At 50.5% G+C, this 27,284-nt stretch overlaps 1 protein-coding gene across 17 annotated transcripts in view, besides 2 other annotated features; it reads right to left on the minus strand.

Annotated features, from left to right (window-relative positions):
* KIAA1755 overlaps positions 1–27,284 on the minus strand; it is a 50,233-nt gene that overhangs the window by 6,612 nt on the left and 16,337 nt on the right. For 3 of the 17 annotated variants that reach the window (NM_001029864.2, XM_047440570.1, XM_024452011.2), the window contains exons 3-13: positions 23,468–24,815; positions 22,414–22,611; positions 14,088–14,211; positions 11,033–11,126; positions 10,040–10,126; positions 8,551–8,667; positions 6,424–6,522; positions 5,335–5,483; positions 2,516–2,654; positions 1,130–1,252; positions 139–360 (exon numbers count right to left, since the gene is read on the minus strand). In NM_001029864.2, the coding sequence (NP_001025035.1) occupies positions 139–360; positions 1,130–1,252; positions 2,516–2,654; positions 5,335–5,483; positions 6,424–6,522; positions 8,551–8,667; positions 10,040–10,126; positions 11,033–11,126; positions 14,088–14,211; positions 22,414–22,611; positions 23,468–24,815 (2,700 nt within the window). Of the gene's footprint in view, positions 1–137; positions 1,253–2,515; positions 2,833–4,459; positions 4,564–5,334; positions 5,484–6,423; positions 6,523–8,550; positions 8,668–10,039; positions 10,383–11,032; positions 11,127–14,087; positions 14,212–22,413; positions 22,612–23,467; positions 24,816–27,284 lie in introns of those variants that run through there. The other 14 variants (XM_024452012.2, XM_024452008.2, XM_047440571.1 and 11 more) reach the window with 14 other exon arrangements.
* Positions 401–1,600: an enhancer, noted in NCBI's record as "BRD4-independent group 4 enhancer chr20:36845917-36847116 (GRCh37/hg19 assembly coordinates)". NCBI's record gives its function as "activates an origin of replication core promoter dependent on BRD2, P300/CBP, MED14 and CDK7 cofactors, and independent of BRD4, by STARR-seq in HCT116 cells {active_cell/tissue: HCT116}" and the evidence as "EXISTENCE:reporter gene assay evidence [ECO:0000049][PMID:35650434]".
* Positions 2,015–2,516: an enhancer, noted in NCBI's record as "H3K4me1 hESC enhancer chr20:36847531-36848032 (GRCh37/hg19 assembly coordinates)". NCBI's record gives its function as "activates a minimal SCP1, AML or CMV promoter by ChIP-STARR-seq in primed H9 embryonic stem cells {active_cell/tissue: H9 hESC(primed)}" and the evidence as "EXISTENCE:reporter gene assay evidence [ECO:0000049][PMID:30033119]".

The following is a 27,284-nucleotide window of genomic DNA, read 5'->3' on the forward strand; positions in this document are numbered from 1 at the left end:
GCTGTGTCTAGGTATCCAAGGGATGGGGGCGGTGTCTATGCAGTCAGGCCATGGGGCTGTGTCTAGGTATCCCTGTCCCCACCATAGCCCCAGCCAGGGGATCGGGGGGTATCTGTGCAGGTGGGCCGCGGGGCTCACCCTCTTGCAGAAGCGGTGCAGGTGGAGCAGCGTCTCGAGGTCCGTGCGTTGCCGCTCGGCCGCCATGTAAAAGTGGGTCAGCTCAGCCTGGAAGGCCCGCTGGGTAGAGGCAAAGGCTGCCAGCTCTGGGAACTCTGCACGTTCTGCCTCCCCAGCCCCTCTGGCTGTAGCTCCCAGCTGAGCGGCCTGCTTGGACAGCTCCAGGCCTCGGCGGTACTGGGCCTGAGAGGGGAGAGGAGGGGGCGCCCACTCAGCACCCACCTTGGCTGGGGCCTCCCTCGGAGGTCAGCAACCTCCAGCTGCCTTGCTGGCGAGCCAGGAGACTTCCTGAGCTTCAGTTTCCTCATCTGTAGAATGGGGACCCTAATAGCACCCACCTCACAGGGCTTAGCTCCTGGTGAGGGTTGAACAATTAAGAGCAGTTATCACGCTTCTGGAAGTCTCCAGGCCCTCGCCATGGCAGTTCACTTTGCCTAGCCGGGCTCTGCTTAGATGTTCCTTCTGGAAAACTTCTCTGACTCCAAAGGCTCCTGCTCTGAGTCCCCACATTCTCCCTTACTGTGCGCTTCCCTGTTTGTCCCCGCCCCCGCCCCCGCTCCCCACTGGCCTGAGAATTCCTGAGCGCTGATACGGGGCTGAATCACCCTGTGGTCCAGAGCCTTGTCACATCGCATCACGTTGATGCAGCTTCCCTGCCCTCCAACCCCCGGCTCTGTGAGGCTGAGTTATTAGGTCTAGGATGGGGCCCTGGAAACTGCATTTTAAGAAACCCTCTGGGGGATTCAGAATATTCTTTGGGCTTGGCCATCTGGTAAGAATCTCTGGGGGAGATAACATCTCAGCTGAACTCTGCAATCCAAGCTGGTTCCCTCACTGTCTCTGGAACTTTTCTTGCTCTTTCCCACCTCCACAGCTTTGCCCTGGCAGTGCCACCCCCTCTAACGCCCTCTCCATCTGCTCCAGTCCTGCTCCTCTGTTGTCTGGAACGCACTGCAGCCTGGAGGAAGAAGTTCTCAAATTCTGCGTGGGCTTTCTCCACTGTCTCCAAACTTCCATCCTTGGGGGTCAGTGATTGCAGGCACCGCCTTCCTTCCTGCTCCATCCAGTCGCTGACCTGGGGCAGGAGAGGCAGATTTGGACATGAGGGGCTGCTAGGAGACCTCCCTTGTCCAGCTCCCCCACTTCCTTGCAGGCTGAGGTCTTCTGTCTTCACTCATTCAGTGGCTAGGCCTGTGACCACTGGCTTGGACTGAAATTCTCCCAATTCTGGGCGTGGGAAGAAATGACTTGGGGAGGGGGAGTGTGTGGTCATGTTCTTCAAAGCGGGACCCTGGAGGGCATCTGGCCTGGCCAACGCCCTCAGTGCACAGTTATCTGAATGAAGGCACAGGGTGGTGAACTTCAGGCTACTCTAACCACTCAGAGACGCCGGATCATAAAAGGGGTGGCCTCAGGGGTGATGAGCTCCCTGTTCGGGTGTGTGTGTGTGTTTGTGTGCGCGTGCACATGCAAACAGTGCTGGAGAAGAAGCTGCAGGCTGCAGAGGAAAGTCCATGGGCCTGCTGGGAACTCACCATGTGAACATGGTAAGCCACTCCCCCTTTCTGGGCCTCAGTTTACTCAGTGGTAAAATGGGGTAGACATGAAGATTCAATGAGGGATAGAGGGTATATAATGGCTCTCAACCCCGAGTGGAAGTTCCTTTCTTATTCTGGGGCATCTTAAAGAGCCTATTCACTCACTTTATCTTCACAGATCCAATGTAGCACGTACTGATATTACCCCCCATTCAACAAATGAAGATACTGAAGCACTGAAGAGTTAAACATCTTGTCCAGGGCCACACCACGAGTAAGTGCTGGAGCCAGGAATGAACCAGGGCTGTCTGATGCAGGAGTGTGCCGTGCCCCACAGCTCCAGGCTGACAGGAATGTGTTGGTTCTCGGCACCGGCAGTCAGATGAAGCCACACCAGGTGCAGGTTCCAGAATCAGACCCCGAGATATGCAACCACAAGCAGGTAACATAATGTCTCCCAGCCTCAGTTTCCTCATCTGTGCAGTGGATGAAATCCTAGCACCTTCCCCATGAGTTCAGAAAGCAATGATGTTCACAACGGCTCTGGCCCAGGGCTTGGCACAGAGTTGGCGCTCAATAAGTGCAGCTCTTGGGGCTATGTTTTCACCCACTGAGCACTTATTGAGCACCAGGTCATGTGCTACGCCCCAAGGATGCCTGCCTGGCCTTTGAAGGATCGCCAGCTTGGTGTCCTTTCTCCAGAACAAAGCACCTGACTAGGGACGGGCCCAGAGTCGGGGCTTTCCTGTGGAATGTGGCCAGGCAGAACCCCCACACCCCAAGCCAGACACCCCTTTCACCTGGTGAATGGCAGCTTCCAGGCGGCCCAGGCGGACACGGAGCTCCAGCTTCCCCAGGAGGCTGTTGGAAGCGGTGACCAGAACATGAAGCTGCTCGTCCACAAGGCTGTACAAGGCAGTGGCTGCAGCCAGATGGCTCCTGGGAGGTGGGCGGAGGTGAGAAAAGGCCTCTGTTGCCCTCTTCACCCTGCTGTACTTCTGTCCCGCATAGGCCTGCCCCTCCATCTCTGTGGCCCCAGCCTGGGTTTCCAGCTAACTTGCTGTGTGACTGTGGGCAGGCCCTTCACCAAGGGCCTCAGCCTTGGTCTTCCATGGGACTGGGAGGACAAGAGAACACAGTAGGAAGTGAACTGACCCTCCCCCTTCCCTAGAAGGGAATGAAGCTGGCCGGACAGATCTGGGTTCAAAGCCCAGCTCTGCTGCCTTCTAGTAGGAGGCTCTGTGCAAATTTCTCAACCTTTCTATGTCTCTGCTTTTTATTCTGTGAGGTGGAGATAATCACAGAACCCACTTCATAGCATGGTTGTAAGGATTAAATGATCTAACGCCCTGGCCCTCAACTCTAGCTATACATTATAACCTGCCCTGGGAGCTTTAACAAATCTTAGTGCCCTGCCCCAGGCCAACAAAGTCAGACTCTGAGTGCAACCAACACACTGATGTTTCCCTTTTTTTTTTTTTTTTTTTTTTGAGACGGAGTCTCACTCTGTCACCCAGGCTGGTCACCCAGGCTAGAGTGCAGTGGCGCGATCTCCATTCACTGCAACCTCTGCCTCCTGGGTTCCAACGATTCTCCTGCCTCAGCCTCCTGGGTAGCTGGGATTACAGGCACGCACCACCATGCCGGGCTAATTTTTGTATTTTTAGTAGAGACAGGGTTTCACATATTGGCCAGGCTGGTCTTGAACTCCTGACTTCAGGTGATCTGTCTGCCTCAGCCTCCAAAAGTGCTGGCATTATAGGCATAAGCCACCACGCCCGGCTGAGACACTGATGCTTTCTAAAGCACCTCAGGCGGTTCCAGGGACAGCCAGGGCAGAGAACCAGCGCTCATGCGTGCAAAACACTTAACACAGTGCCCAGCGCACGATGTTTGTCAGGTCCGTGCTATTTCTATTGCAATGGTGGGAAGTAGCTGCAACATGCCTGCCGGCCCTGCCTCCATTTCACAGATGGGAAAACTGAGGTCAAGGGAGGGGAATCGACTTGCAGATGACAACCTGAGTTGGAACCCCACCCAGGGCTGTTTCTGCACATAATTTTAAAAAATGCTCAAAGCCACAAGTCACTAAGGAAGAAGTGTGGATGGGATTTCAGGCATGGTGATATTTGTGTGAAGGGAGGAATCTCCAACCCTGCTCTGCCCTCCTCTGCCTTCAGAGGGAAAATGGAAGAGAGAAGATGGAAGAAAAGCTTTTGACTTCCTGGAGGGTGCTTTGCTCTACCTCAGCCTCCCCATCTGACTGCAGCTCCCCACGGGTTGCCACCCTTGCAGGGAAGAGGTGTGGCCCAGGGTGCGTGAATAGGATAGAAAATCTCTGCCTGCCTGGAGAGGGAGGGACGGAGGGACGGGGACAGCCTAGGGGCTGCAGGGACCCGCTGCAGAACAAACGCCCACAGCAGCTCATGTGGGACCACAGTGACCCCTGCTGGAGATGCTGGTAGCTGCGGGTCTGCGGGGCCTCGGATGGACAGGAGGGGCCTGGGCTGGTGGGGCAGGTAAGGGTGGAAGAGGCTGAGAAAGGCAGTGCCAACCCCCACCAGGCACTGAGGGGCAGGGAGATGACCCCATACCAGTGCTGCCCGTGCGTCCATCTGTGTAAGCCTGCTCTCAAGTCTAGTGCAGCTCTGGGTGGTGTGTTCAAGATTCTGGGACCAGACTGCCTGGATTCAAGTCCGGGCCCCACCACATCCCAGCTATGTGACCCTGGACTAATCACTTACCTTCTCTGAGCCTCAGGTTCCTCCACTGTAAAATAGGCATAATATCTGCAGCTACCTCGGAGTGAATTAAGTGAGCTGGTATTTGTAAATCCCTGAGAAAAATGCTGGACACATACAAAGTGCTATTTAGGTCTTGGTTCTGTAAACAAAATGTTCTTAAAAGCTCATGCATACCAGCCCTTGACTTTGAATATAAGTAGCTGTGTTCTAAGAGGGTGAAAATACTTGCAATTACTGACCAATTTAATGACTGACTTTTCCCCACCCCCTAAATTTAAGAAAGCTGGGACTTTCCAGGAATGTCTATAATTTATTCTGGCTCTGAGACCCCTGAGACACCATGAGGTTCTCACAAGTGTGTCTGAGCAGCCTACCGGGAAAGGCAGGGCCGGGTAGGGGTTAAATGCCCAGAAGGCCTGGCTTCAAATCCCTTACCAGCCGCTGTCTAGCTGCTATTTCCCTTCGCTGAGCCTCAGTTACCCATCAGCCAAATGGACAATGTGGACCTCACAGGGTTCTTGCCAGAAATAAATGAGGCAGGCTCTTGCAGGGGTTCAGCGTGGTGTGTGGGTCAGAGAAAGTGCTTTTCCAAAAGGGTGACCAGAAATGGGTAGGCGACATCCTCTGATGCCCATCCCAGGCTCAAGATGGCTGGGGCTGAAGGAGGGAAAGCAGAGAAGGGGCGAGGAAATTGCCAGGGCTCAGGGCAGGTTTCTGTGACCAGGCGTCAGCCTGGGATACAGGCCCTGCAACTACTGCAAAGCTGGGCGCCCTCGGGGCTCAGCTATGTGTGCCCTAGGTGGTGTGGTCCCAGCTCCAAGCTCCTGGGCCAGAAACAGGATGGGGTGGAAGAGGAAAGGCCTGGACGTCTGTACCTGACATCAGGGCTGAAGTCCAGCCTGCTGGCATCATGCTGCAGCCTGGCCAGGGTGGCTCCACCTTCCCGCTGGAGGCCCAGTAGGCCGGGGTCCCTCAGCACAGCCTCCATCAGCTCCTTGGACTTGCTCAGGCACCTGGTAGCCTCCTGCCAGCGTAGGGAGGTGCCCTGAGGCCCCATCCCCACTCTCCCTCTGCAACCTTCCAAGGCTCCCCACACCCAGATCAAGTCCAACTCCCAGTTTGGCATTCAAGGTCCTCCAGAAAGTCTGTCATTTCTGTCTCTAAAACATCCCCTCTAGCCATGTCCCCTCTCGTCACCACGGCAACCTCATTGGTCCACCCTCCAGCATCTCTTGCTGGGACACCCATTCCAGCCTCTTCGCTGATCTCCCTGCTGCCCTCTGGCTCCCCCTACAGTCTGTTCTCCACATGGCAGTTGAACGGATCTCAAAGTGCAAATCTGATAACCCCTGGTTTAAAACTCTCCAGTGGCTTTCCCTGCAGGCTTCGAACTGAATCCCAGCCCAACTCTTCCTTGGTCCAGCTCCTGCTGCATCTAGAAGCTCCACTCATGCTTCTTTCCCACTCATTCTGCTCCACACTGGCCTCCTTGCTACTCCTGAACACCCCAGGTATAATCCCACCTCAGGGCCTTCACATGTGTTTGCCCCCTGCCTGGAGCACAGCCCCCCACAAAGGCAGGCTCCTTCTCAAACTTCAAGCCTCAACTTAAACTCCAGCTCTTCAGAGAGGCCCTCCTCCCTCCCTCATTATTCCCAATCTTACTTCCACAGGACTTGACACAATTTGGAATGACATACCCATTTATAATAGTTTGCTTTTTAAACTACCACCTCTGCCACAGCACCACGAGCCCCAAGAGGGCAGGGATAAGTCAGTTTGCTCCAGGCTGGTCTCCAGTGCAGGGTACAAAGTGGGTGCCCCTCAAATATGAGTCAAATGAATGATGAAAAACAGGAATAATGTCCTCCCCCTTTTCCCCAGGCCGTCCCCTTCTCGAAGCCCTTGGTCCATGGGGTCTGGGGTGTGATGTAGCTTCCCCAGTCACCATGCTCCAGGCTCACCTGCATCCCCCCAGGGGGGTCGGCCTTCTCGAATTCCTCGATGGAAGCTTGTAGCAGGGAAGAGGCCTGGTGGAGGTCAGCAAGGAAAGGGTCCAGCTTCTGCAGGACAGAGGACCAAAGGGCAGGTGTCAGCCCAGGCCAACCAGGAGGATGCCTCTTGCATCTCAGGAGCACAGAGGGGAGGTGGGAGGCAGTGGCTCTCCAACTCCAGGTGCATCAGAAGCATCTGGAGAGCTGGTTAAAACACAGGCTCTGGGCTCTGCTCCTGAGGTTCTGCTTCAGTTCCTCTGGGGCGAGGCATGGTAGAAAGTGCATTTCTAACAAGTTCCCAGGTGTTGCTGATGCTGCTGGCCTGGGGAACCACACTTTGAGAACCACTGGTGTTGAGTATGAGTGAGGGAGAAGAAAGGAGACAGGCCTGAGCGACTCCCAGGCCAGTGGGGATACCATGATTGGTAAGGAAAGGAAGAGGGCAGAGTTAGGGGAACATTTTCAGCTGAGTCCCACTTCGGCCCAGCTCCATCACTTACAAGCTGTGAGACCTTGGGCAAGTTACTTAACCTCTCTGTGTCTCTGCTTCCTCCTCTTTAAAATGGAGATCATAGTAGTTCCTGCCTTATAGGGTTGTGTGAGGATTAAACCCATTAATATATGCAAGGCACTTAGAACAGAGCCCAGCCCATACTGTGTTTATCATCATTCTCACTTCCATGTAGTGGGTCTACAGGTAAGATTTCATGTAAAGGAAAGGGTTTAAAGCTAAAATACAGTTCAAAAACCAGTGGATTCATTGGAGGCCTCTGGAAAGGGAAGCTAGGACCCTGGGGGACAAGCGGAAAAGGAGATTGTTCAGTAGGTATCTTTTTGGACCATTTGAAATGTGAATATACTTACTGCCTATTCAAAAACACACAATTTTAAAAAGATCACTTGGGCAAAAAGTAAATAAGCCACCATGTTACACTGTTAGTATAGACCGGCGGTTCTCAATGAGGGGTGACTTTGCCCCCGGGGACATTCAGCAATGTCAGGAGACTTTTTTAATTGTCATAATTTGTGGGGTGCAAACAGTGGGTAGAGCCAGGGCTGGTACCAAGCATGCCGCAATACACAAGACAGCTCCCAACAAAACAGAATTGCTCAACCCCAAATGTGAATAGGTTAAGGTTGAGCAACCCTGGTCTAGAGAGGACCCGGGGCGGGCATTGATGGGCATCGGTTTCGGTGTGGTTTAAGCCCACCGAAAGGCACCCTCGCCCTATGTGTCCTCGTGTACTAAATTGGGTATGAAATGCCCCCTCTTGGGGTTGTGGGGAGGAGGGACTGTGATTACACAGGAAAGGAGCCCAACACTGGCGGCTGCCTTATTTCCTCCCTCTTATAGGAGGGAACCAGACCCTGAGCTTCCTGAGTTGTGTGGGTCCATAGAGCAAGTGCCTGTAAATTTATTTTATTTTATTTTAAGATTCTTTTTGAGACAGAGTCTCACTGTGCCACCTAGGCTGGAGTGCAGTGGTGTGATCTTGGCTCACTGCAATCTCTGCCTCCTGGGTTCAAGCAATTCTCATGCCTCAGCCTCCCGAGTAGCTGGGACTACAGGTGCATACCACCATGCCTGGCTAACTTTTTCTTTCTTGTATTTTTAGTAGATATGAGGTTTTACCATGTTGGCCAGGCTGGTCTCAAACTCCTCACCTCATGTGATCCACCCATCTCGGCCTCCCAAAGTGCTGGGATTACAGGTGTGAATCACAGCGCCCGGCCCTGTAAATTTATTTTCAGTTAACATAGACCTAGCTCTTTACCCGTATTAACTAAATTAATCCTCACAAAAACCCCATGAGGAGGTACTATTATTATCCCCTGTTTAGCTGATGAGGAAACCAAGGCTCAGAGAAGGTAAGTAACTTATCCAAAATCACACAGCAGAGCTGGGATTGCAATGTAGGCAGCCTGGCCCCAGAGCCTGAGCTCTTAATCATTTGACTCTGTACCTTCACTGTAAACATTTGTTGAGTGACCGTTTATTTTTTAGCATAGCAGGGTTGATGGATCCATGGGACAGAAGAGTGAAGAGAAGAAGAGAAGGAGTGGGGGTCAGGGGCTAAAGGCTGTGACGGTAAACACCTGGAAGAAATGAACCCACTCGGTGTGGCAGTAGGGGAAGGGGCCTTCCAGGACTGCGGGCAGCTGGCTGGGGTCCACATGGTGGCTGAGGGCCTTCAATGAGGTCAGCACCTCCACCTGCAGACCAAAGAATCAGGAGAACCAGGGACTCAAAGTGAGGACAGTCATTTTAGAAGGTCCTGCCCAGATCCCTGCCCCAGCACCAGTTCATTTCCCACAAGTAAGGTTGACTCCAGCTTTAAAAGTTGCTTTGCCAGCAACCAATCTTCTCTGGAAACTCTGACAAATCAAAATTCAGAACCAGACCCTGGTTAGGGAATGGCAAATAAACAGCACTCATACTGCCACTCTCCTAGCTTGTGCCCAAGGCAGACATCATTAATCAATCATAGCACTCGTTCCCTCTGAGCTTGGCTCTTTCCCAGTACAGCTCTCCGGGCAATCATACAAACTGATGGAAGCTGGCCCTTGTGATGAAACTTCTTTGTAATCTTTGCACAGTTCCCTGAGGAGCCAAGAGCTGTTTCCTTCTTGGGGCTGGTGAGAAAAGTCACTAAATCCCAACAGTGTCCTCTAAGACATGGAAGAACTAGGTGACTGCTTCTGCCAGGCAGAGAAATTTGAGGTTTATGCTGGGAATAGCTCCAGATACCTAGGCTTGGGATTTGGTGGATTCTGTGGTTTTTTTGGACCCACCTGATATTCCTGCTACTCAAAGTGTGGTCCATGGGCCAGCATCGCCGGCATCACCTAGGACATGTTGGAAATTCAGAGTCCCAGGACCCACCCAGAACTACTCAATCAGAACCTGCACATTAATGTATTTCCCCAAGAGATCAGTAAGCACATTAAAGTTGGAACAGCACACCTCCAGCCCACAATCTGCCTCTTCACTAACCAGGAGGAAGGAGAGTTTTAAAATCACATCCCGAAGCAGGACAGAGGACTGACTGCCCTTACTCATTACTGTGGTGTATGGCACTAATTAAAGGGAGCTGCAGGGCTCTTTCCTGCAGAGTCCCGCTTCAGCTCCACATCTGTATTAATTAGGGCGAGAAATACAGGAAGAGCAGGTGTGACCGCAGTGTGAAAAAGGCACTGGAGTCAGGTGACTCCAGCTCTGCGTCTAGCTTGCTGTGTGGCCTTAGGCTTCAGTTTCCCCCTCTGAAAACAAAGGGAGGAGGGATGGACCAGATGAAGCTTTTCAAATAGGTTCTATGCCATGTGCAATTCTCGATCATGTGGCAGCACCCACCAGGAGCTGCTAGGATTGCCAGAGAGATATCACTCTGTGACTGATTTGACAATGCCTGCCACGGATCTATACTGGGGATTGGTAGCGCTTAGGCCTCGTATTTATTGCCTTACACTAGATTACCTCCAGGCCTCTTCTAGCTCATGAATTCTGCAGTTCTCCCTCTCCTTAACCCCAGCTCAGCTCGAGCCCAACAACTCCCTTCCTCAACCGCCGACCCTGAGTCCCCCTCACCTGGACGTCAGGTAATGTCTGCAGCTGGAGAGCCGCCTCCTTCTCCCCCAGGAAGAGAATAGCCCGGATAGAGGCTGGGACCTGAGCCTGTCAAAGACAACCACTGCAGAGTTGCTCTGCCCAAGGCTTCATGAAGCCTCACACACTTTGATTTCCTCCTTCATCCCCTGTAAGATGCAGGCAAATGGGTCACAAGGACAGAGTGGGGTCCCTCCATGACTGGAATCTTTGTGTGATACGTTTGGACCGTGAATCATTGGTTAGAAGTCATGAGAGCAGCAGGTTCAAGTTGTGTTGCAAATCTTTCCAGATGACCTGCCCCTCTGGGCCCCAGTTTGCCCATCTACAAAGCAAAGGAGGTCAGACCATAAGGTAAGCAGATGCAGAACCTCCATTGACTCTGCTGCCCATAATTGCTGGATAGGAATCTTCTCTCCTCCCTTCTCAGCTCATGAGCTTTATGTGATCTAAGTCTGAGCCAATCAGTGTGTTGCATTCACCCCCAGGCCACAGGGTTGGGTGTGGAGGGACTCCTGAATCCACTGTAACTGAGACACAAAGAAATTTTTGCTGAGACCTCTGGGAAAATAATCTCTTACTCTTTCCTAATGGATTTAAATTAGAGACCATGTGAAGTCAGAGCTGCTGGGAGCCATCCGGCCACCAAGGGGCGCGGGGTGCCAAGCGGGGTGGCTTGGCATCCTCCAAAGAGAACGGGGCCAGAAATGGAGAGAGAGGAACCAGGTTCTAATGATAATATCTGAGCCCTTGGATCAGGCCATACTTGAAGCTGGACTTGGCTCCTGGACTGTCCATTGACATGAACCAATGAGCTTCAAGCTTGTTAGGGCTGAGTTTTCTGTTGGCTGCAGTAAAAGTCCCTGCCTGAGAGTCCTGGTCCCAGCCTTAAGCACCCCCGGACTCTATGAATGTCAGGAGGCCCCTGGTGGCTCCCAGGACTTACTAGGCTAAGGCTCTCCACCTCCCACTCACCTGGGTGGCCTGCAGGGCGCTGACCAGACCGGGCTGTGGGGGCTGTCTCCTGGCGTCAATCAGGACCGCCAGCCCCTTGGCTTTATCTTCAGGCCTGTGGGTGGTAAACAGAATTGACAGTCTTGCTGGATGGCCTCGGACAGGGGGCAGGACCTAGTGGAAGGTGAGGGAACCTGGCTGCTAGAAACCTTGATTTACTGGTGAACTCTTCATCCTGTTAAGACCAAGTTCCAATGCCCCTTCTAGGAAGCCCTCCGTGGTTCTTCTCCAGGCAGAGCCTTTTGCTTCCTCTTTGGTGCTCCTGCAAGACCTCATACAGCCCTCGTTTATAGCCCTACTATTCCTAACTCTAGCAACTAACCCAGGTACAGTAGGCAAGTCACTTGGGACTCATCCACTTTTTTGTGTAGGCAGAATCCTTATTTTGCTCAAGAATCCAACTCCCTCCAAAAAGCCAAGTTCCCCCAGAGCCTGGCTTCTGATTGGTTGAGGCCAACAGTAGTGACGTAATTCCTCTGGCCAGTGATTGGTTTAGATGGGGAGGGTCATGTGACATTTCTGGCCAATGATATGTGAGGGAAAGTTTTCCAGGGAAAGAGGCTTCTGGGAAAGACATTCCCTCCTTTAAAAAGTTCTTAACAAAGAGATATGAGGCAGAGACATACAATGATACATTTCCTTAACAGATAAAACATTTTAAATGGGAATTTCTGTTGATTGCAGCCAAAACACCCTCCCTGGTTCAGCCACATTGCACTGAGCTTACAGTGGGCCACTTTTCAGTGACTATCTTAGGATTTTCCAAACTGGCACAATTTTCAAGACTTGTTAAAATACAGATTCCTCACCCTACTCCTCTCCCATCCCCACCCCTCTAGCCATCTGGCCAGTGGGTACAGGGTGGCCAGGGAATCTGTGTGGTTCCAAGCACCCTCGGCCAGTCTAATGATCAGGCAGGATTGAAAAATAGCCCCCAACTGCCCTCAAGCCTTACAACCACTCAGTGCACAGACAAAACCTGAGGTGGCCCAGTGGGAGGGTAGAGCTGTGGCACTGCCATTAGTACCTTGTGGTCTGGGCAAGTTATTTCATCTCCCTGAGTCAATTTAATAATGATAGTACCGGCCTTATGGGCTGTAGTGAGGACTGATGAATTCATTCTTGTAAAGCACTCAGTGACTGCACAGAGTAAATGGGATGTAAATATTTGCTATGATTATCCTAGAAGGGGAAACTGAGGCACAGAAAGGCCCAGTGGCAGATAGTGACAGGAGGCTCTGGGAGGTGATTTCAAGTCTCTGACTTTATGTCCTTGCCTCCCTCTGGCGATGCCCATGCTGGACAGTGATTTGTTTCCAGACCTGTCTCTGCTACCAACCTGGAGGCCCTTAAAAGTCAGGGCCCGGTGTGAGGTGCCTCTGTCCCTAGCACCATGTAGCATGAAGCCAAGCCCAGAGCAGGGGCCCAGCCAATGTTCATTCAGAGCACAAGTGGAGAAAACCAGCCCAGCACACAAGCACCTGGTGTGCACTGCACTCCACAGTTTACATCCTCTACACCCCCTCATCCCTGCCACTTGTGCCCAGCTTGGTCCTTAGAGCCCTCTTGGTCATGCCCTTTATTCAGGCGAGCCTTGGGGAGGGGAGATTATTTCCCTATGGTTGCATAGCCAGTCGGTGGGATCCCAGAGCTCTGTCTACCACACTAGTCACTTTCCACCACAGAAAAAGGGGGTCCCATCTCCCACTCAGTCCAGAAAAGCCACTCCACCTTGGACAAGAAGAAAAAAAATGTTAGTGACCAGCAGGTGGCAGTGATGGCTCCAGTGGGGTGGGATGCATGAAGATAGTTCCAGAGGGTTCCATCACCTTCCACCCCTTACCCCCAACAGCAGACCTCTAGGTTGAGTTGGGGCTTATTAGCCAGTCCTGAGCAGCATCCCCTCTAAGACTGCCCTGGCTAGGGGCTGGGTCCCGAGGAAAAGAGGGCGCCTCTTCCCCAGCCAGTCCATTAAGTCTGAATGGTGGCAGGGGTAGGAGTGTTAGGAGGAGCATTAGAAATCAGCCTGAGTCCACTCATCATTCATTCACTCACTCACTCACTGACTCACCCACTCATTCTTTCACTCTCTCATTCATTCATTTACTCATTCACCCCTTTCCTTTGTTTATTCAAATATTTATAATTCAGATGACAGCTCAATTATCACCTCCTCAGGGAAGCCTTCCCTGATTTCCCAATTGAAATTAACATCCCCTATTCTTCTTACTCTACAACAGTGGTTCTTAAAGTGTAGTCCCAGGCCCAGCACCTGTTATCACCGGGAAATTTGTTACAAATGCAGATTTTCAGGTCCCACCCACCTTCATCAACTGAATCAGAAAATCTGGGGGATGGGCCCCTGCAATCTGTTTTAACAGCCCACCAGGTGATTCGAATGCACCTTCAAATTTGAAAACCGGCCAGGCACGGTGGCTCACGCCTGTAATCTCAGCACTTTGGGAGGCCGAGGTGGGTGGATCACCTGAGGTTGGGAGCTCAAGACCAGCCTGACCAACATGGAAAAATGCGGTCTCTACTAAAAATACAAAATTAGCCAGGTGTGGTGGTGCATGCCTGTAATCCCAGCTACTCGGGAGGCTGAGGCAGGAGAATCGCTTGAACCCGGGAGGCGGAGATTGCAGTGAGCTGAGATTGCATTGTTGCACTCCAGTCTGGGCAACAAGAGTGAAACTCCATTTCAAAAAAAAAAAAAAAATGAAAACCACTGATCTACAAACATCACTGTTTTCTTCATCACACTGACACTCCTGAAAGTTTCTTGGCCATGGTTTGTTTCTTGCACTCTGTCCATCTCTCCCACCAGCCTGACAACCCCCCGATGGCAGGGACTGAGGCTGTTTTGCTTTCCCCCGGCATCTGTCTGGGGACTGGCTCTGTGAACAGACGACTGGATGGAAGGATATGGTGCCTCTCCACTCAGTGTCTGGTCCAGGGCTCTGGGCCCAGAGGGTTGAGGTGGGGATGGAGCAGTCAGGGTGGCCCAGATCCTTACCTGGGGATGGTACACAGGTAGGACAGTAGCTTGGTGACCTCTGAAACTGTGCACCATGGTGCCTCCCAGGCCCCCTCTGTAGTTGACACCAGAAGCAGGGGCCGCCCGGCCCTGTCCCGGCCACCTGGAGGACAGAGGGCACACGTGAGCAGTGAGAACTTGTGGGGGGCCCTCTAGGGACCTCTCCTGTGGCCTGCAGACCTTTGGCCGTAACGGTTCCTTTGCCTGGAACACCCTTTCTCTCCTTCTCCTTCTGTGAACTCTGACTTCTACTTATCCTTCAAGACCCAGCTCAAACACCACTTCGTGAGAAAAGTCTTCCCTGAATCTCCTCTGTGCAGAGCACTCCCTCTGTATAAGATACGTGGGCAGGCAAAGCTCATGGCATGAGCTCTGGGGTCACACAGAAAGGGGTCAAGTCTCTGCTCTGCAGTGACTCACTGTGTGTCTGTGGGCAAGTCAGTGCACCTCTGAGCTTCAGTTTCCTCATCTGTTAAACAGGGAGAATAATATGCTGAGCTTATTAGGTTATTTCAAGGATGAAATCAGACAGCTCCTGAGAAGCACTTAATACACAGCAAGAGCTCAGTGAATGATTGAGTTGCTCAATCGTTGGTCGTTACAATGATCACTGTCTCTGTTCTCGTCTCCAGTCCAAGGGGTGGTGAGCGTGCAGCCCTGTGGCCACCAGCACTATTTCTTCTTGCAGACTTTCAACCCTGGGTTTCCGACAGGCTATTTCCTGTTCCAGGAATCTGGGCGGTGTGCCTCACTCTCCCCACAGGAGTCATGAGGCTGAGGCTCCGGGAGCCAGTACAGCCCATCCTCATGGGGAGGAAAGGGGAGGGCAAATACAGCAGCAGGGAAAGAGGCTCGGGCCTTGGGAAACCACACCTGTCTCGCAGCCTGGACTCAGAGCCCTGCACTTCAGTCACCTCACTCCAGGATGCCCTGCAATGACCACCAGCCACTCCACGTGGGCACCACCCTCTGCAGCGTGCAAAACCCTTCACAGCTCACGAAGCCTTGGACAAACCTAACCACCTTCACAAGTGCCGCCTCACAGGGGTCCAACCACCTGGAACATTCTTTCACATATGTCTTAAAATCTGATATAATTTTTAAAATAAAAAAAAAATTTGTGGCTGGGCACGGTGGCTCACGCCTGTAATCCCAGCACTTTGGGAGGCTGAGGCGGGTGGATCACGAGGTCAGGAGATCGACACCATCCTGGCTAACATGGTGAAACCCCGTCTCTACTAAAAAATACAAAAAAATTAGCCAGGCATGGTGGCGGGCGCCTGTAGTCCCAGCTACTTGGGAGGCTGAGGCATGAGAATGGCGTGAACCTGGGAGGTGGAGCTTGCAGTGAGCCGAGATCTCGCCACTGCACTCCAGCCTGGGCGACAGAGTGAGACTCTGTCTCAGAAAAAAAAAAAAAAAAATTTGTGTGTATATAAATGTGTATACATATATATCAATGTTATCCTCTTGATATTATGGATTTGATCTTTTTCCTACTATTCACTTACAAATTTCGAAAGTAAAGACATTTTGTTGGGGATAAGAGGGGAGACTTGAACAGAAACTGGAAATTGATTAGTATGAGGACATTCTTTTTCATTTTGTTAGGGGGCCGGGTGCAGTGGCTCATGCCTGTAATCCCAGCATTTTGGGAGACCAAGGTAAGAGAATGGCTTGAGCTCGGGAGTTCGAGACCAGCCTGGGCAACATAGCAAGACCTTGTCTTTACTAAAAATTAAAAAAATAATTAGCCAGGAGTGGTGGTGTGTGCCTGCAGTCCCAGCTGCTCAGGAGGCTGAGGTGGGAGAATCGCTTGAGCCGGGGAGGTTGAGGCTGCAAGAACCATAATTGTTTCACTGCACTCCAGCCTGGGTGACAGAGTGAGACCTTGTCTCAAAAGAAATTTTTTTTTATCTGTTAAGTGTACTAAATGGTATTGTGATTATTAGGGAACACACTGAAGTATTTAGGTGATAGAATATGAAGATTTGTAATATTTTTATAAATACTTCAGAAACAAATAGATGAAGCATGACAAAATGTTAAGATTTATTAAATCTGGGTGATAGGTATGTGGGTATTCATGATACTATTCTGTCTACTTTTCTATAGGTTTGAAATTTTTCATAATATAAAAGTCCAAAAGAAGGTGAAGTCATTAAACCATGAAATAAATGCACAACTTGTGAAGGTGGAGGTGCGGGTACAGGTCCCTCCAAAATCCTATCGCAGCTGTTTGTTGGGTCCCTTGGGTCAGGAAATGCTACATCACATACCTGGGTCCATTTTGCTGATGAGGAAACTGGGGTGGGGAAGCAGCTTCCCAGTCCCCCATGGGCTCAGGTACCCAAACTCTCTGCAAGGGTAGAGACCATGCCTGATTCACCCCTTGAATTAGGGGTGCCTTTGTCTGCTACACACCTGAGGCCTGGAGCTCAATTGCAGCTCTGATGGTGCTGCACTCCCCTGCTCTATAACCTTCTATGGCTCCTTGTGGCCTTGAAGAGAAACTGCAAGCTTCTGGACCTGGCATTGAAGTGTCTCAGGCTCTGCACACTCTTCCATCCTCATTTCATACACTAGGTGTTAGGGGCGAAGCTGTGTCCCCTGCCCCTCCAAATTTATATGTGGAAGTCTTAACTCCCAGTACATCAGCATGTGACTGTATTTGGAGATAGGGTGTTTAAAGAGGTAATTCAGTTAAAATGAGGTTACTGTGGGCCCTAATAGAATATGGCCAGTGTCCTTACAAGAAGAAATTTGGACACAGAGGGAAGACCCCATGAAGATACAGGGAGAAGATGGGCATTTGCAAGCCAAGGAGAGAGGCCACAGAAGGAAACAACCCTGCCAACACCTTGATCTTGGACTTCCAGCCTCCAGACCTATGAGAAAATGAATCTCTGTTGCTTAAGCCACCCACGTTATGGCAGTCCTGGGACACTAATATACTAAGTCTCCCCTTGCCACCAATGACAGATGATACCACCCAGCTTTGTTCACCCTATTCCTTCTGCCAGGTATGCCCTTCTGTCCTATCTCTATCTGGTGAAATCCCCCTCATCGCTCAAAGACTAGCCAAGATGCCACCTCTTCCTGGAAGACCTCCTTACTGCCTTCCCTCTTTAGAAGCTCTTCCCCAGTCCCAGGTTCCCAAAGCAAATGTAGGCCTCTGTGAGATCCTGCAAGACTGAGAGCCCTTACGGGTGTGCACTGGGTCAAACTCATTGTTGCATCCCTGTGCTCAGCACAAGGCTGGATAATCAATGTCTGTGATTGATTCATGAAGGAATGGAGGGTTAGAGCAACACCTCTCAAACTTTGATGGGCCTGGGGATCTTGTTAGAATGCAGATGCCAGTTCAGCAGGCCTGAGATTCTGCCTCTCCCCCTAGCTCCAAGGTCACGCTGATGTAGGTAGTCCCCAGACCACACTTTGAGCAGCAAAGGGTTCACACACTCAGGACATTCCACACTGGGACACAGTAGTCATACGATTAGTTCACATGTCTGGTTCCCCACACTGCCTGGAACAGGGCCCTGCACACACCCAGTGCCAGCTGAGTTGATTACAGCAAGGGGCAGTTGTCCACCTGATTTGTCTTCAGCTGGGCCAAGGAGACCCTTTTGCCCCAAATGTTATCCTCACCTACCAGCTGGCGCCAGAAATACCATCATTAGCATCTCAGAACCGTGGCTTGAAGCTGTGCTGTTCACAGATATTGTGAGCCTCAGGTGAAAATGAGGATGGCAAAATGAGGGTGGTGGGTAAGTCGGGGTTGCCCAAAGTTGCTGAAAAATGTGTTGCATCTGCCAGCAGCATGAAGAGTCACTCCAAGTTTGGGGAGGGAGGAATGGTAAGTAATTGAATTTGCAAGCAATTAAAAGCATTTTTTCATATCAAAACGAGTGTGAATGTATTCTATTTATGGATATTTAAAATGTATAGAAATTTTAAAGGCAAAAAGGATTTCAAAGATCTATATGGAGCAACTGAGAGCTCAGGGTGAGGTCTCAATCTCAGGGGCTCTGTTCATTCTCTTCTGCATTAGGGATTTTCCAGTGGAAAGACAGGGAAGCCCTCTCCTAAGGCTTCGTGCCTGTGGCCCCAAAGATGTCCATGCCCTAATCCCCAGAACCTTGAATATGTTACCTTACATGGCAAAAGGGACACTGCAGATGTGATGAAGGGCAGGACCTTGAGGTGGGGAGATTATCCTGGATCATCCACTCTAATCATAGGAATCCTTAAAAGCAGAGAACTTTTCCTGGCTTTGGTAGGAGCAAGGTGCCAAGATGGATGGGGGGTGAGGGAGATGCAACATTGCTGGCTTTGAGGATGGAGGAAGGGGCCACAAGCCAAGGAAAGTAGTGGTCTCTAGAAGCTGGAAAAGGCAAGGAAATGGAGTCTCCCTTAGAGCCTCCAGGAAAGAATGCAGCTCTGCAGACAGCTGGATGTAGCCTAGCGAGATCCATGTTGAGCTTCTAACATACAGAGCGATCAGATAATACATTTGTGTTGTTTTACGTCACTAATTTGTAATAACTTGTTATGGCCACAATGGGAAACACAGTGCCTATTAAACAAAACCCCATCCCCAGCATGGGAGCAGACATTCACACCTGCATGTTGATCAGTTTCTTTCCTGAGAACAGATCTTTATGAAAACTTTACGGGGAGACCTGCTTCACAGGGCTGGCTTGGAGCAGATCTAGATCTTGAAGCACAGGCTCTGGGGACTGTTTGCCCTATAAGGAAACTCCAACAGAGGCCGGTGTGGACGCAGAGACACCAGCGAGGAGACCACTGCAGCAGGCAAGAGACCACGCTGGTTTGGACTTGGGTGGGGTGAAGTCAACAGATTCTGAATACAATTTAATGGGAGAGTTGACAGTTAACAAATTGAATGTGGGATGTAAGAGAAAGAGCAATCAAGGATGATGTGGTCATCTTTTACTGCCATGAGGAAAGACTGGAAGGTTGGGAAGTGTGGGGTGAGGGGATGTGAAGTCAGGAGTCCATATTTGGGCATGCTAAGTTAGAGATGTCTGTGAGACCTCCACGCAGAGACATCAAGTAGTAAACAGCTGGATGGATAAGTCTGGAGTTCATGGCCAGGGCCCAGGCTGGAAAAATCAGTGTCGGGGTTGTCAGCCTGGAGAGAGCATTTACAGAAAATATTCCACCTCCAGGATGAGATCGCCTAGGAAGTGAGTGTGGATGGAGAGGAGAAAGGGACCAAGGACTGGGCTTTGGGGGCCCTCCAGGATTTACAGGTTGTGGAGATGAGGAGACAGGAAAGGAGGCTGCAAAATTGTGGCCAGTGAGGTGAGAGGAGGACTGGGTGACTGAAGATCTAATGGCAAGTGAAGAAAGCCTTTCAACAGGAGGAAGTGGCCATCCATGCCAAATGCTGCGGAAGGGCCTAGGGTGATGAGGACTGAGAATCGACCCCTGGATCTAGAAACATGGAACGCAATGACGACCTTGACAAGACGTGTCTCAGTGGCACAGTGGGGAAGGGATTCTGATTAGAGTGAGTGGAAGAGAGAAGGTGTGGAAACAGGGAACACAGACAACTGCTTTGTGGAGTTTTAATGTAAAAGGGTGAGGGTGGGAACACGGGGGCCTAGAATAGCTCATTTCAAGCTGGGCAATATTGCAGCGTGTTCTCATCCTGATGGGAATGGCCCAGAGCCAAAGAGGAAAGATGATCCTGTAGGAAGGAGAAGAGAATCTTGCTGGAGGGATGTCTTTGAGGAGGTAAAGAGGAACAGAGCACGGGTTCAGGGTCAGCCTCAGGCACATGGACAATTCATCCATACTAGAATGCTGAGCCTGTGGGTACAGATGCCAGCAGGTAGGTGAATGACCTTCCTTCTGGTCTGACTGAGTAAGCAGAAGCAATTCATAGACTTCCTTCCAATTGCTTCTGCTTACTCACTCAGACCAGAAGGAAGGTCATCAGCTGAGATTTAAGTTGGGGAAGGTGGTGTTGAAGGTCAAAGGAGAGAGAAGGTGTGAAGTCATCACACAGGACTGTGGGGGAGTCATTCAGGACTCTGGAGGTGAAGTAGGATCCACTAGCACCATTGGGACCCCCAGAGGTCAGTGGTCAGGAATTCAACACAATTAGCCTGCACAATTGTGTGGATTTTTCCAGCTTCGTTCAGCTTGAGGGTGCAGGTGGAGAGTTGGATCTCACGGAGGTTGGGATTTATCTGGGTAAGTGTGAAGGTGGAAGAGGAAAGCAAGCGAGTGAGTGTTTGAAAGGAAGTGATTACAATGTGAGCCTGGAATCTAAGCTAGGAAGAAGGGATGTGAGGATGTGACAGAAGGTGGGGGAGACATAATGATGGGGAAGGGATGTGGTGGAGAGTGAGGAAGATATGATGATGGGGAAGGGATGTGGTGGAGGGTGGGGAGACATGCTGGAAAAGGGGAGTGAAAAGGTGGTTGAACCAATAGGTTCAAGGTTTTGGGAGGCCTGAAGATGATGAAACTTGGGGCAGTGGGTGACCTGGAAAGAGAAGCAGTGGTAATAAAGGAGAGGGAGCCTTAACATGAAAACCCGGCGGGGAGAAGTTGGTTACGGGGGATGCGATGGGGGGAGTCATGTGGGGAATGAGGACAAGATCACTAGAGAAGAGCAGGACAAAAAACGGACAGAAGGAGCACGCATGTGGACGTTGCTCATTCACACAGCAAATGCTTTTTGCACACATGCTACACATCAGGCATGTGCGAGCTAACAGTGCATGTTGCAACCCCCAAGAATTACAACAAAAGTAACTGAGGGAAGAGTGACAGTGAGCCAGGTCCTATCTGTCTATTCTCCTCCTCTCAAGGAGGCCCAGAGAGGGCAGTGACTTCTCCAAGGACACACAGGGAGCTAATGATAGAGTTAGAACTAAAACAAAGGTCACCTTCCTCCCATAGCAGAGCCTTCCATGGACAAAATCTGAGCCCTTGGCCCATGATGGCCCTAAGAGGATCATGAGATCCTTTGTGTACAATTAATATGGAACAAACAGCAGGAGCTTCAGCAAAGATGACCAGGAAAATGACAGATAAGGTCTCCTGGGAGCTGCAAAAAGACAGGGCAGTGCTCAAGGTCCTGAAGAGATATGGAAGTCTGTGAAGTAAAATAGTATTTCAGGACAATCAGTCTCCAGAAAGCACTGTGGTTCTCTTGTCTCTGGACCTTTGCACATGCTGTTCCCTTTGTCTGGAACGCCGTTCCCAACTCTTCACCTGGATAATTCCTACTCATACCATAGGACTGGGCTTTACGTTACTTCCTCCGGGAAGTCATCCTTGACCTCTACTACCCTAAGCCTGAACCAGGGGACTCATCTGTGCTCCCACAGCCCCCTGTCCTTCCCAACTGTCACACTTTGTTTACACTGGGTTTCAATAATCTGTTGTGATAACCTGTTGGCTTTTCCCCACCACTAGAATATAGGTTTCCTGATAGCAGAGAACACATCAGACTTGTTCTCTTATGAATCGCCAGTGCTAAGCCCAGGAACCAGTAAATGTCTGTTACAACAATGGGGAAATATTAAATACGAGTGATAAGACCTTCTGTATTGGATGCTGCTAGTACCCCAAACCCAGATCCCCTCAGCAGGCAGAGAACCCATCCCCAGAGTCTGAAAGTATCAGTTGTCAGTGGCTCACAGATGCCCCCTCTCTGAAGAAGCACTCTGGGCTGAACTGGATCACTGGCTCCCCCTGCCCCACCCCATTCCAGGATCAGCCCGAAGTTCCTGCAGTTCATTAATGACGGACAGACTGGGGATCAGCCCACAGTTAATGACTGACAGACAAGGCTTATAAAAGGCCAGTCCCCTACACCTTCAGCTGGAGCCAGCTCTGTGGGGCGGGTCATGCCCCAGTGCTCTCCTTGGGGTCAGCCCACAGCCTTGCTTGGCTCCTTCCCCTGCCTTGACCCTCTGTCCTTCTCCTCAGAGCCCTCCTCCAATAGGTCACTTTCCCAAAAATCTATGTCTCAGGCTCTGCTTCTGGGGAACCCAGTATCCACCTTGGCTGCTTCACTGATGGATGGACAAGTAGACAGATGGACAGACAGATAGATGGGTGGATGGATACCAACAAATTGCTTTCATCTATTCCAATTCTCCCATGGGAAAGATGAGGAAACTGAGGCCCAAGGAGGCTTGGTCTAGAACCTAGGCCTCCAGGGCATTCCCTGCCTCCCCTCCACCCAACAGCAGCTGAAGATGCTCTGGGGCCCCCAGCTCCCTCCCTACCACCTCCTGCTTGAATCCCCTGGAACCTGGCAGGCATGCTATCCTGGAGCGGAAAACCTTGACACCTAGAGCCCCAATCCTGGGCTCAGGCCCTGGGGGCTCCTCCTCCAGGGTGGGGCCTCTTTCTGGGGAGCCTGCAGAAGCTTCTGGCAAGGCAGCCTTTTCCTCAGTCAGTGGGCTGGGGGCAGTGGCTGGGCCAGATGTTTTGGTCTGAGTTGTTCCAGCTGGGAAAAAGCAACAACAAAGAAAAGGACGTTAAGCAGAAGATGGGCTTTCTAAGGGGAAAACGTCTCCTCTTTCTCTTTCTGACTAATAATAGCTTACAACTATTGATCTCTCCCATGTGCCAGGCATTGCGCTAAGCCCCTTACTTCTAGTGTTACCCCTCCCCACACCTCACTTTTTTTTCTTTAGTGACAGAGTCTCACTCTGTTGCCCAGGCTGGAATGCAGTGGCATGAACATAGCTCACTGCAGCTTTGAACTCCTGGGCTTGAAAGATCCTCCCACCTCAGCCTCCCGAGTAGCTGGGGCTAAAGGCATGCACCACGAAGCCCAGCTTTTTTATTTATTCCTTCCTTCTTTCCTTCCTTCCTTCCTTCCTTCCGTCTTCCTTCCTTCCTTTTTTCCTTCTTTTCTTTCTTTCTTGTAAATTCCTGGCCTCAAGCCACCCAAATTCTCCCGCTTCAGCCACCAAAGCACTGGGATTACAGGATAAGCCTCTACACCTAGCTTCTGGTGTCGCTTTGAACCCTCAAAATAACACTGTGAAATAGGTGACATTCCCATTGCACAGATAGGGAGAACGTGGACTCAGAGAAACTCAGTACTTGGCCAACGTCACACAGCCAGTGTATGGCAAAGGTGGAGTGTGAACTCAGGCAGTTGTAACACAGTCACAGTGCCTTGCTCAATTCCAGACACATGAGACTTCAAGCCCCTTAACATGCCACACTGTATACTAAACCCCTGAAGCTGAGCCAGCCCAGGTGGTCTCTATCACTTACAACCAAAACCACCTAAAATGTGATCTCAACCAGACAATAACCTCCTTGTACAGCTGAGCATGTGGGCATCTTACCTTTCCCCAAAGATTTGGCTCGGTTGGGTTTAGGAGAGTAGAGGGAACACAGGACTTTCCAGGGCCCATTGTGCTGGAGTGAGGCTTTCTCCGGGGTCACAGAGGGTTGCCTCTGCCCTCTCAAGAATGAGAATTTGAGCCCAGGAGTGGGGGGCTCAGGGGAGGAGGTGTTTCTGCTAGGGCAGGGCATGGGCTTGGGAAGTCTCCCATTTCTCTCTTTGGTCTTCACCTCTATCTTTGTTTCAGAGGCTGCAGCTGCAGGAGAAGCTGGGGACAGGCGGGGAGAGGAGGCTTGTCTTGGTCCAGGCCTGAGCTGCACCATATTCTCTGGGTTTCCTAGAGGTCCCTGCATCTTGGAGGCAGCTGGCTCTTGTGAGACACCTGCCCTGAGACCAGAGGCACAGTCCAGTGCGTCCTCAAGGACATTCATGTAGGAGCCTTGGGGCGGCCTTTCTGAGTTGTGGGTGGGTGCTTTAAGATTGACCTTTCTCCTGAAGCCCAAATTATAGGGCCTCTCCTCAGAGCTTTCTGGCTTTGTGCAAGCCCGATTTCCCAAGGAAGGTCCTTCATTGGCCTCTGAGAGAGGCAGTATCTTTTGAAATAAGGGAGTTTCCTTAGTTCCAGCTATCTCCTCTAGTGCCCCAGAAGTACACCCACTGGATGTGCCTGCCTCCCTACTGGGAGACTCTCCTCTGCTCTCTTGGGAAAAGCCTAGGAGAGCCACATAGTCTCCCTCGAAGTCCTGGCTGACCACCTCGTCCATCCTGAAAGCCACCTCCCCACACCGGGCTTGCTCCACCTTGATGAGTCCTGGATACTTGCTCCCATATGTCCTGCCCTTACCCTTGGCCAAACTCTGGGCAGGAAGCACCTGGTTGTCTGGGGAGCTGGCCTGGTGCAACTCTTGAGGGCTGCTCAAATCCAGTGCCTCTAATGGAAGGGGCCCCCAGGCTTGGCAGAGGGCATTCACTACTTGGGGTCTGTCATCCACAAACTCTGGGCTGGTTATCTTGGTCCAAGGCACAGGGGCAATCCCATTTTCTGATGCTACCAAGCAGTTGTGTAGGGGATTTCCCTCAAAGTCACTGTTGATGGCCTCCAGCCATTCTTGGGTGAAAAGTATAGGGTAGGCTGGCTCTGGAACAGGCTTCTTGTCCACTGTGCAGAGGTCCAGGGAGAGGCATTTGATCATGATGCAGACAGACTGCTCCTCCTGGGGCTCCACTTGGAGGTAGAAGTCACCCTGGCGCAATAAGAGAGGGTTGAGGGGTGCCAAGTGGACCACAACTTCATCCCTCAGACAGAGTGGCCAGCCCTCGTGTAAGAAGAGGCAGTGTGAGTAGGGAGCCTGTGGAGAGAAGGGGATGGCATCAGAGAACCTGGCCCTGAAAGGCTCCACCCTTGGATTTGCTCCTTTCCCTCTCCCACGTGGAATCTGGAACAGGTCAGGGACTAGGATGAGGCAGCATTTAGGAGGCACTCACTGTCAAGGTTGTGCAAAGGTTGACTCTCCTGCCCCACCCTCGTCCTGGCCCTGACCTTGGAAATCCTAGCCTACTGACCCAAGTGAGAAAGCTCAGAGCACCATGCACTAGTTAGCAATCGGCTTTCCCAAGTGGTCCCCTTGCTTGGCTCATGCTCCCTTCCTCTCTGCATCTATCCAGAACATTTCCCAACCCAATTCAAGTCTTAGCCCTCCATTTTAAAGCCAGGGAGACGTGGTTTAGACAAACGTCTATGTTGCTAATTTGTGCAAATTGCTTAACTTCTTTGAGCCCCAATTTCCCTATCTGCAAATAGGATAATAATACATGTCAGTATTACTGGGTTGGTATGAGGATTAAGTGAGATTATACAGATGGCCTCAATTTATGGTGGGGTTATATCCTGGTAAATCCATCATAAATTGAAACTATCATAAGTCAAAAATGCATTTAATGTACCTAATCTACAGAACATCATAGCTTATTTAGACTAGCCTATCTTAAAAGTGCACAGAGCACTTACATCAGCCTACAGTTGGCCAAAATCATCTAACACAATGCCTATTTTATAATAAAGTGTTGAACATCTTATTGAATTTGGATAGTGTATGAGGGTGAAGTAGAAACAGTATTGAATGAGAAGTCAGGAAATCTGACCCTGCCACTAACTTACTAGATGGCTGTCCAGTTTTTCCTGACCCAAAGGTTATTCTGGGCCTGAATGTTTATTTTTTATTTGTTTGTTTATTTATTTCTCATTAAATAAATGAAGGCTTATTTGTTTATTTTTTATTTATTTCCCATTAATGGATAATAACACGAAGGTGAAGCAAAACTTTAAAAAGAAATTTTTTTTTAACAGGAGTTGCCAGAAATTCCCTGTATAGGTGGGTACAGAGGGTCATTCTGGAACAGGCTGTGACCCAAGTGATCCCTCTCAGTTGAGCCTGTCCACTGGGCTGTGCGGGACCAGTGTTCAACAGTGACACCATGTGGCAACAACGGAAACAACAGCTCCACTGGGCTGACAACAGGTCTTTAACTGGCTTTTGGAAAAAGAGTCTGAGTTCTGTGGATTGAGTAAGTCCCAGACAATCTTATATAATTTGGATGTGTGTAGGGGAGATGTACAGAGAGTGAGACTGAATTTCCTGCTAATTAAACAGGTGTTTCCTGGAATTATTGATTGCGGAAATAGTGAGATCTGACCATAGTTATACCTTATGTTGATAAACCCATTTATATCAGTCATATTGTAGATTGGGCTGCCTCAGAGAAGCTTAATATCCATAAACCTTCATGAGTCTGTAGGTTTTCTCGACCCTTTTCACTTAGCCCTCTTGGGTTTGCAACATGCTTTCTCTCTCACCTTCTCATTGAATGAGAAAAAACAGCCCAGCCATTTTTTGCAAACAGCAAAGCACCAGAGTGATGATGGCTTTGCTCATCTCACTTGACTTTCACAGTAACTCAGTTTGATGTAGGCAGTCCAGGCATTATTATTTTCATTTTACAGATGATGCAACTGAGGCTCAGTGTGGTGAAACATTTGGCTCATAGCCACACAGCTGATAAGCATCAGGGACTTGGACCTAGGCCTTCACATTTCAAGTCAGCTGTATCTGTCCCCAAGCCCCACCAGACTTCATGTGAAGGTGGCTGCTTCTGGGTGATGGTGGCTGGAGAGGCAGACTTTGAGGCTGCCATGCTCTTATTTCAGATGGAGAAACAAGGAAGTGGGATAGCGATAGCCAATAGCTACTGGGCACTTGCTGCATGCCAGAGTCTTTGCTAAGCCATGTGTTGTCATCTCCATGTGTTGTCATCTCCATGTGTTAGGTGCTGTGTTATTAACGTTTCTGCTTGACACATAAGGAAACTGAAACTCAGAGAGGTGGCATGGATCTCCAAAGTTCACAGTGATGAGCTTGGATTTGAACCTGGGGCATCTGAACCCAGAAGCCATCCTGTTAATCACACATGACTTCCCATTGCTCTGAGATTGACAGATATTTGCCTATCATTACAATTAGATTAAACTCACCTACAAGGAAAAATAAAGACGCGGAAATGTTGTTACCTTGAGGAAGCGGCCAGTGCAAATGAAGTTTAAATGGCCAAATAAGGGAAGTGGGCAATTGTGTAGCTTGTCAGGGAGAAGAAATAAGGATGGGGGAGCATCTGCATGAAATAGTGTCATGTGGAAGTGGCTGCAAATGCTTCCATGAGAAGCTCCCTTCTTCTCCAATACTAGTTCCCATGTATTGAGCTATGATCTATGAGCCAGGCTCTGTGCTAAGCATGTAAAATAGATTATCTCACTTTCCTTCTGG

Source organism: Homo sapiens, chromosome 20 (genome assembly GCF_000001405.40).
Source record: "Homo sapiens chromosome 20, GRCh38.p14 Primary Assembly".
Classification (NCBI taxonomy): Eukaryota; Metazoa; Chordata; class Mammalia; order Primates; family Hominidae; genus Homo; species Homo sapiens.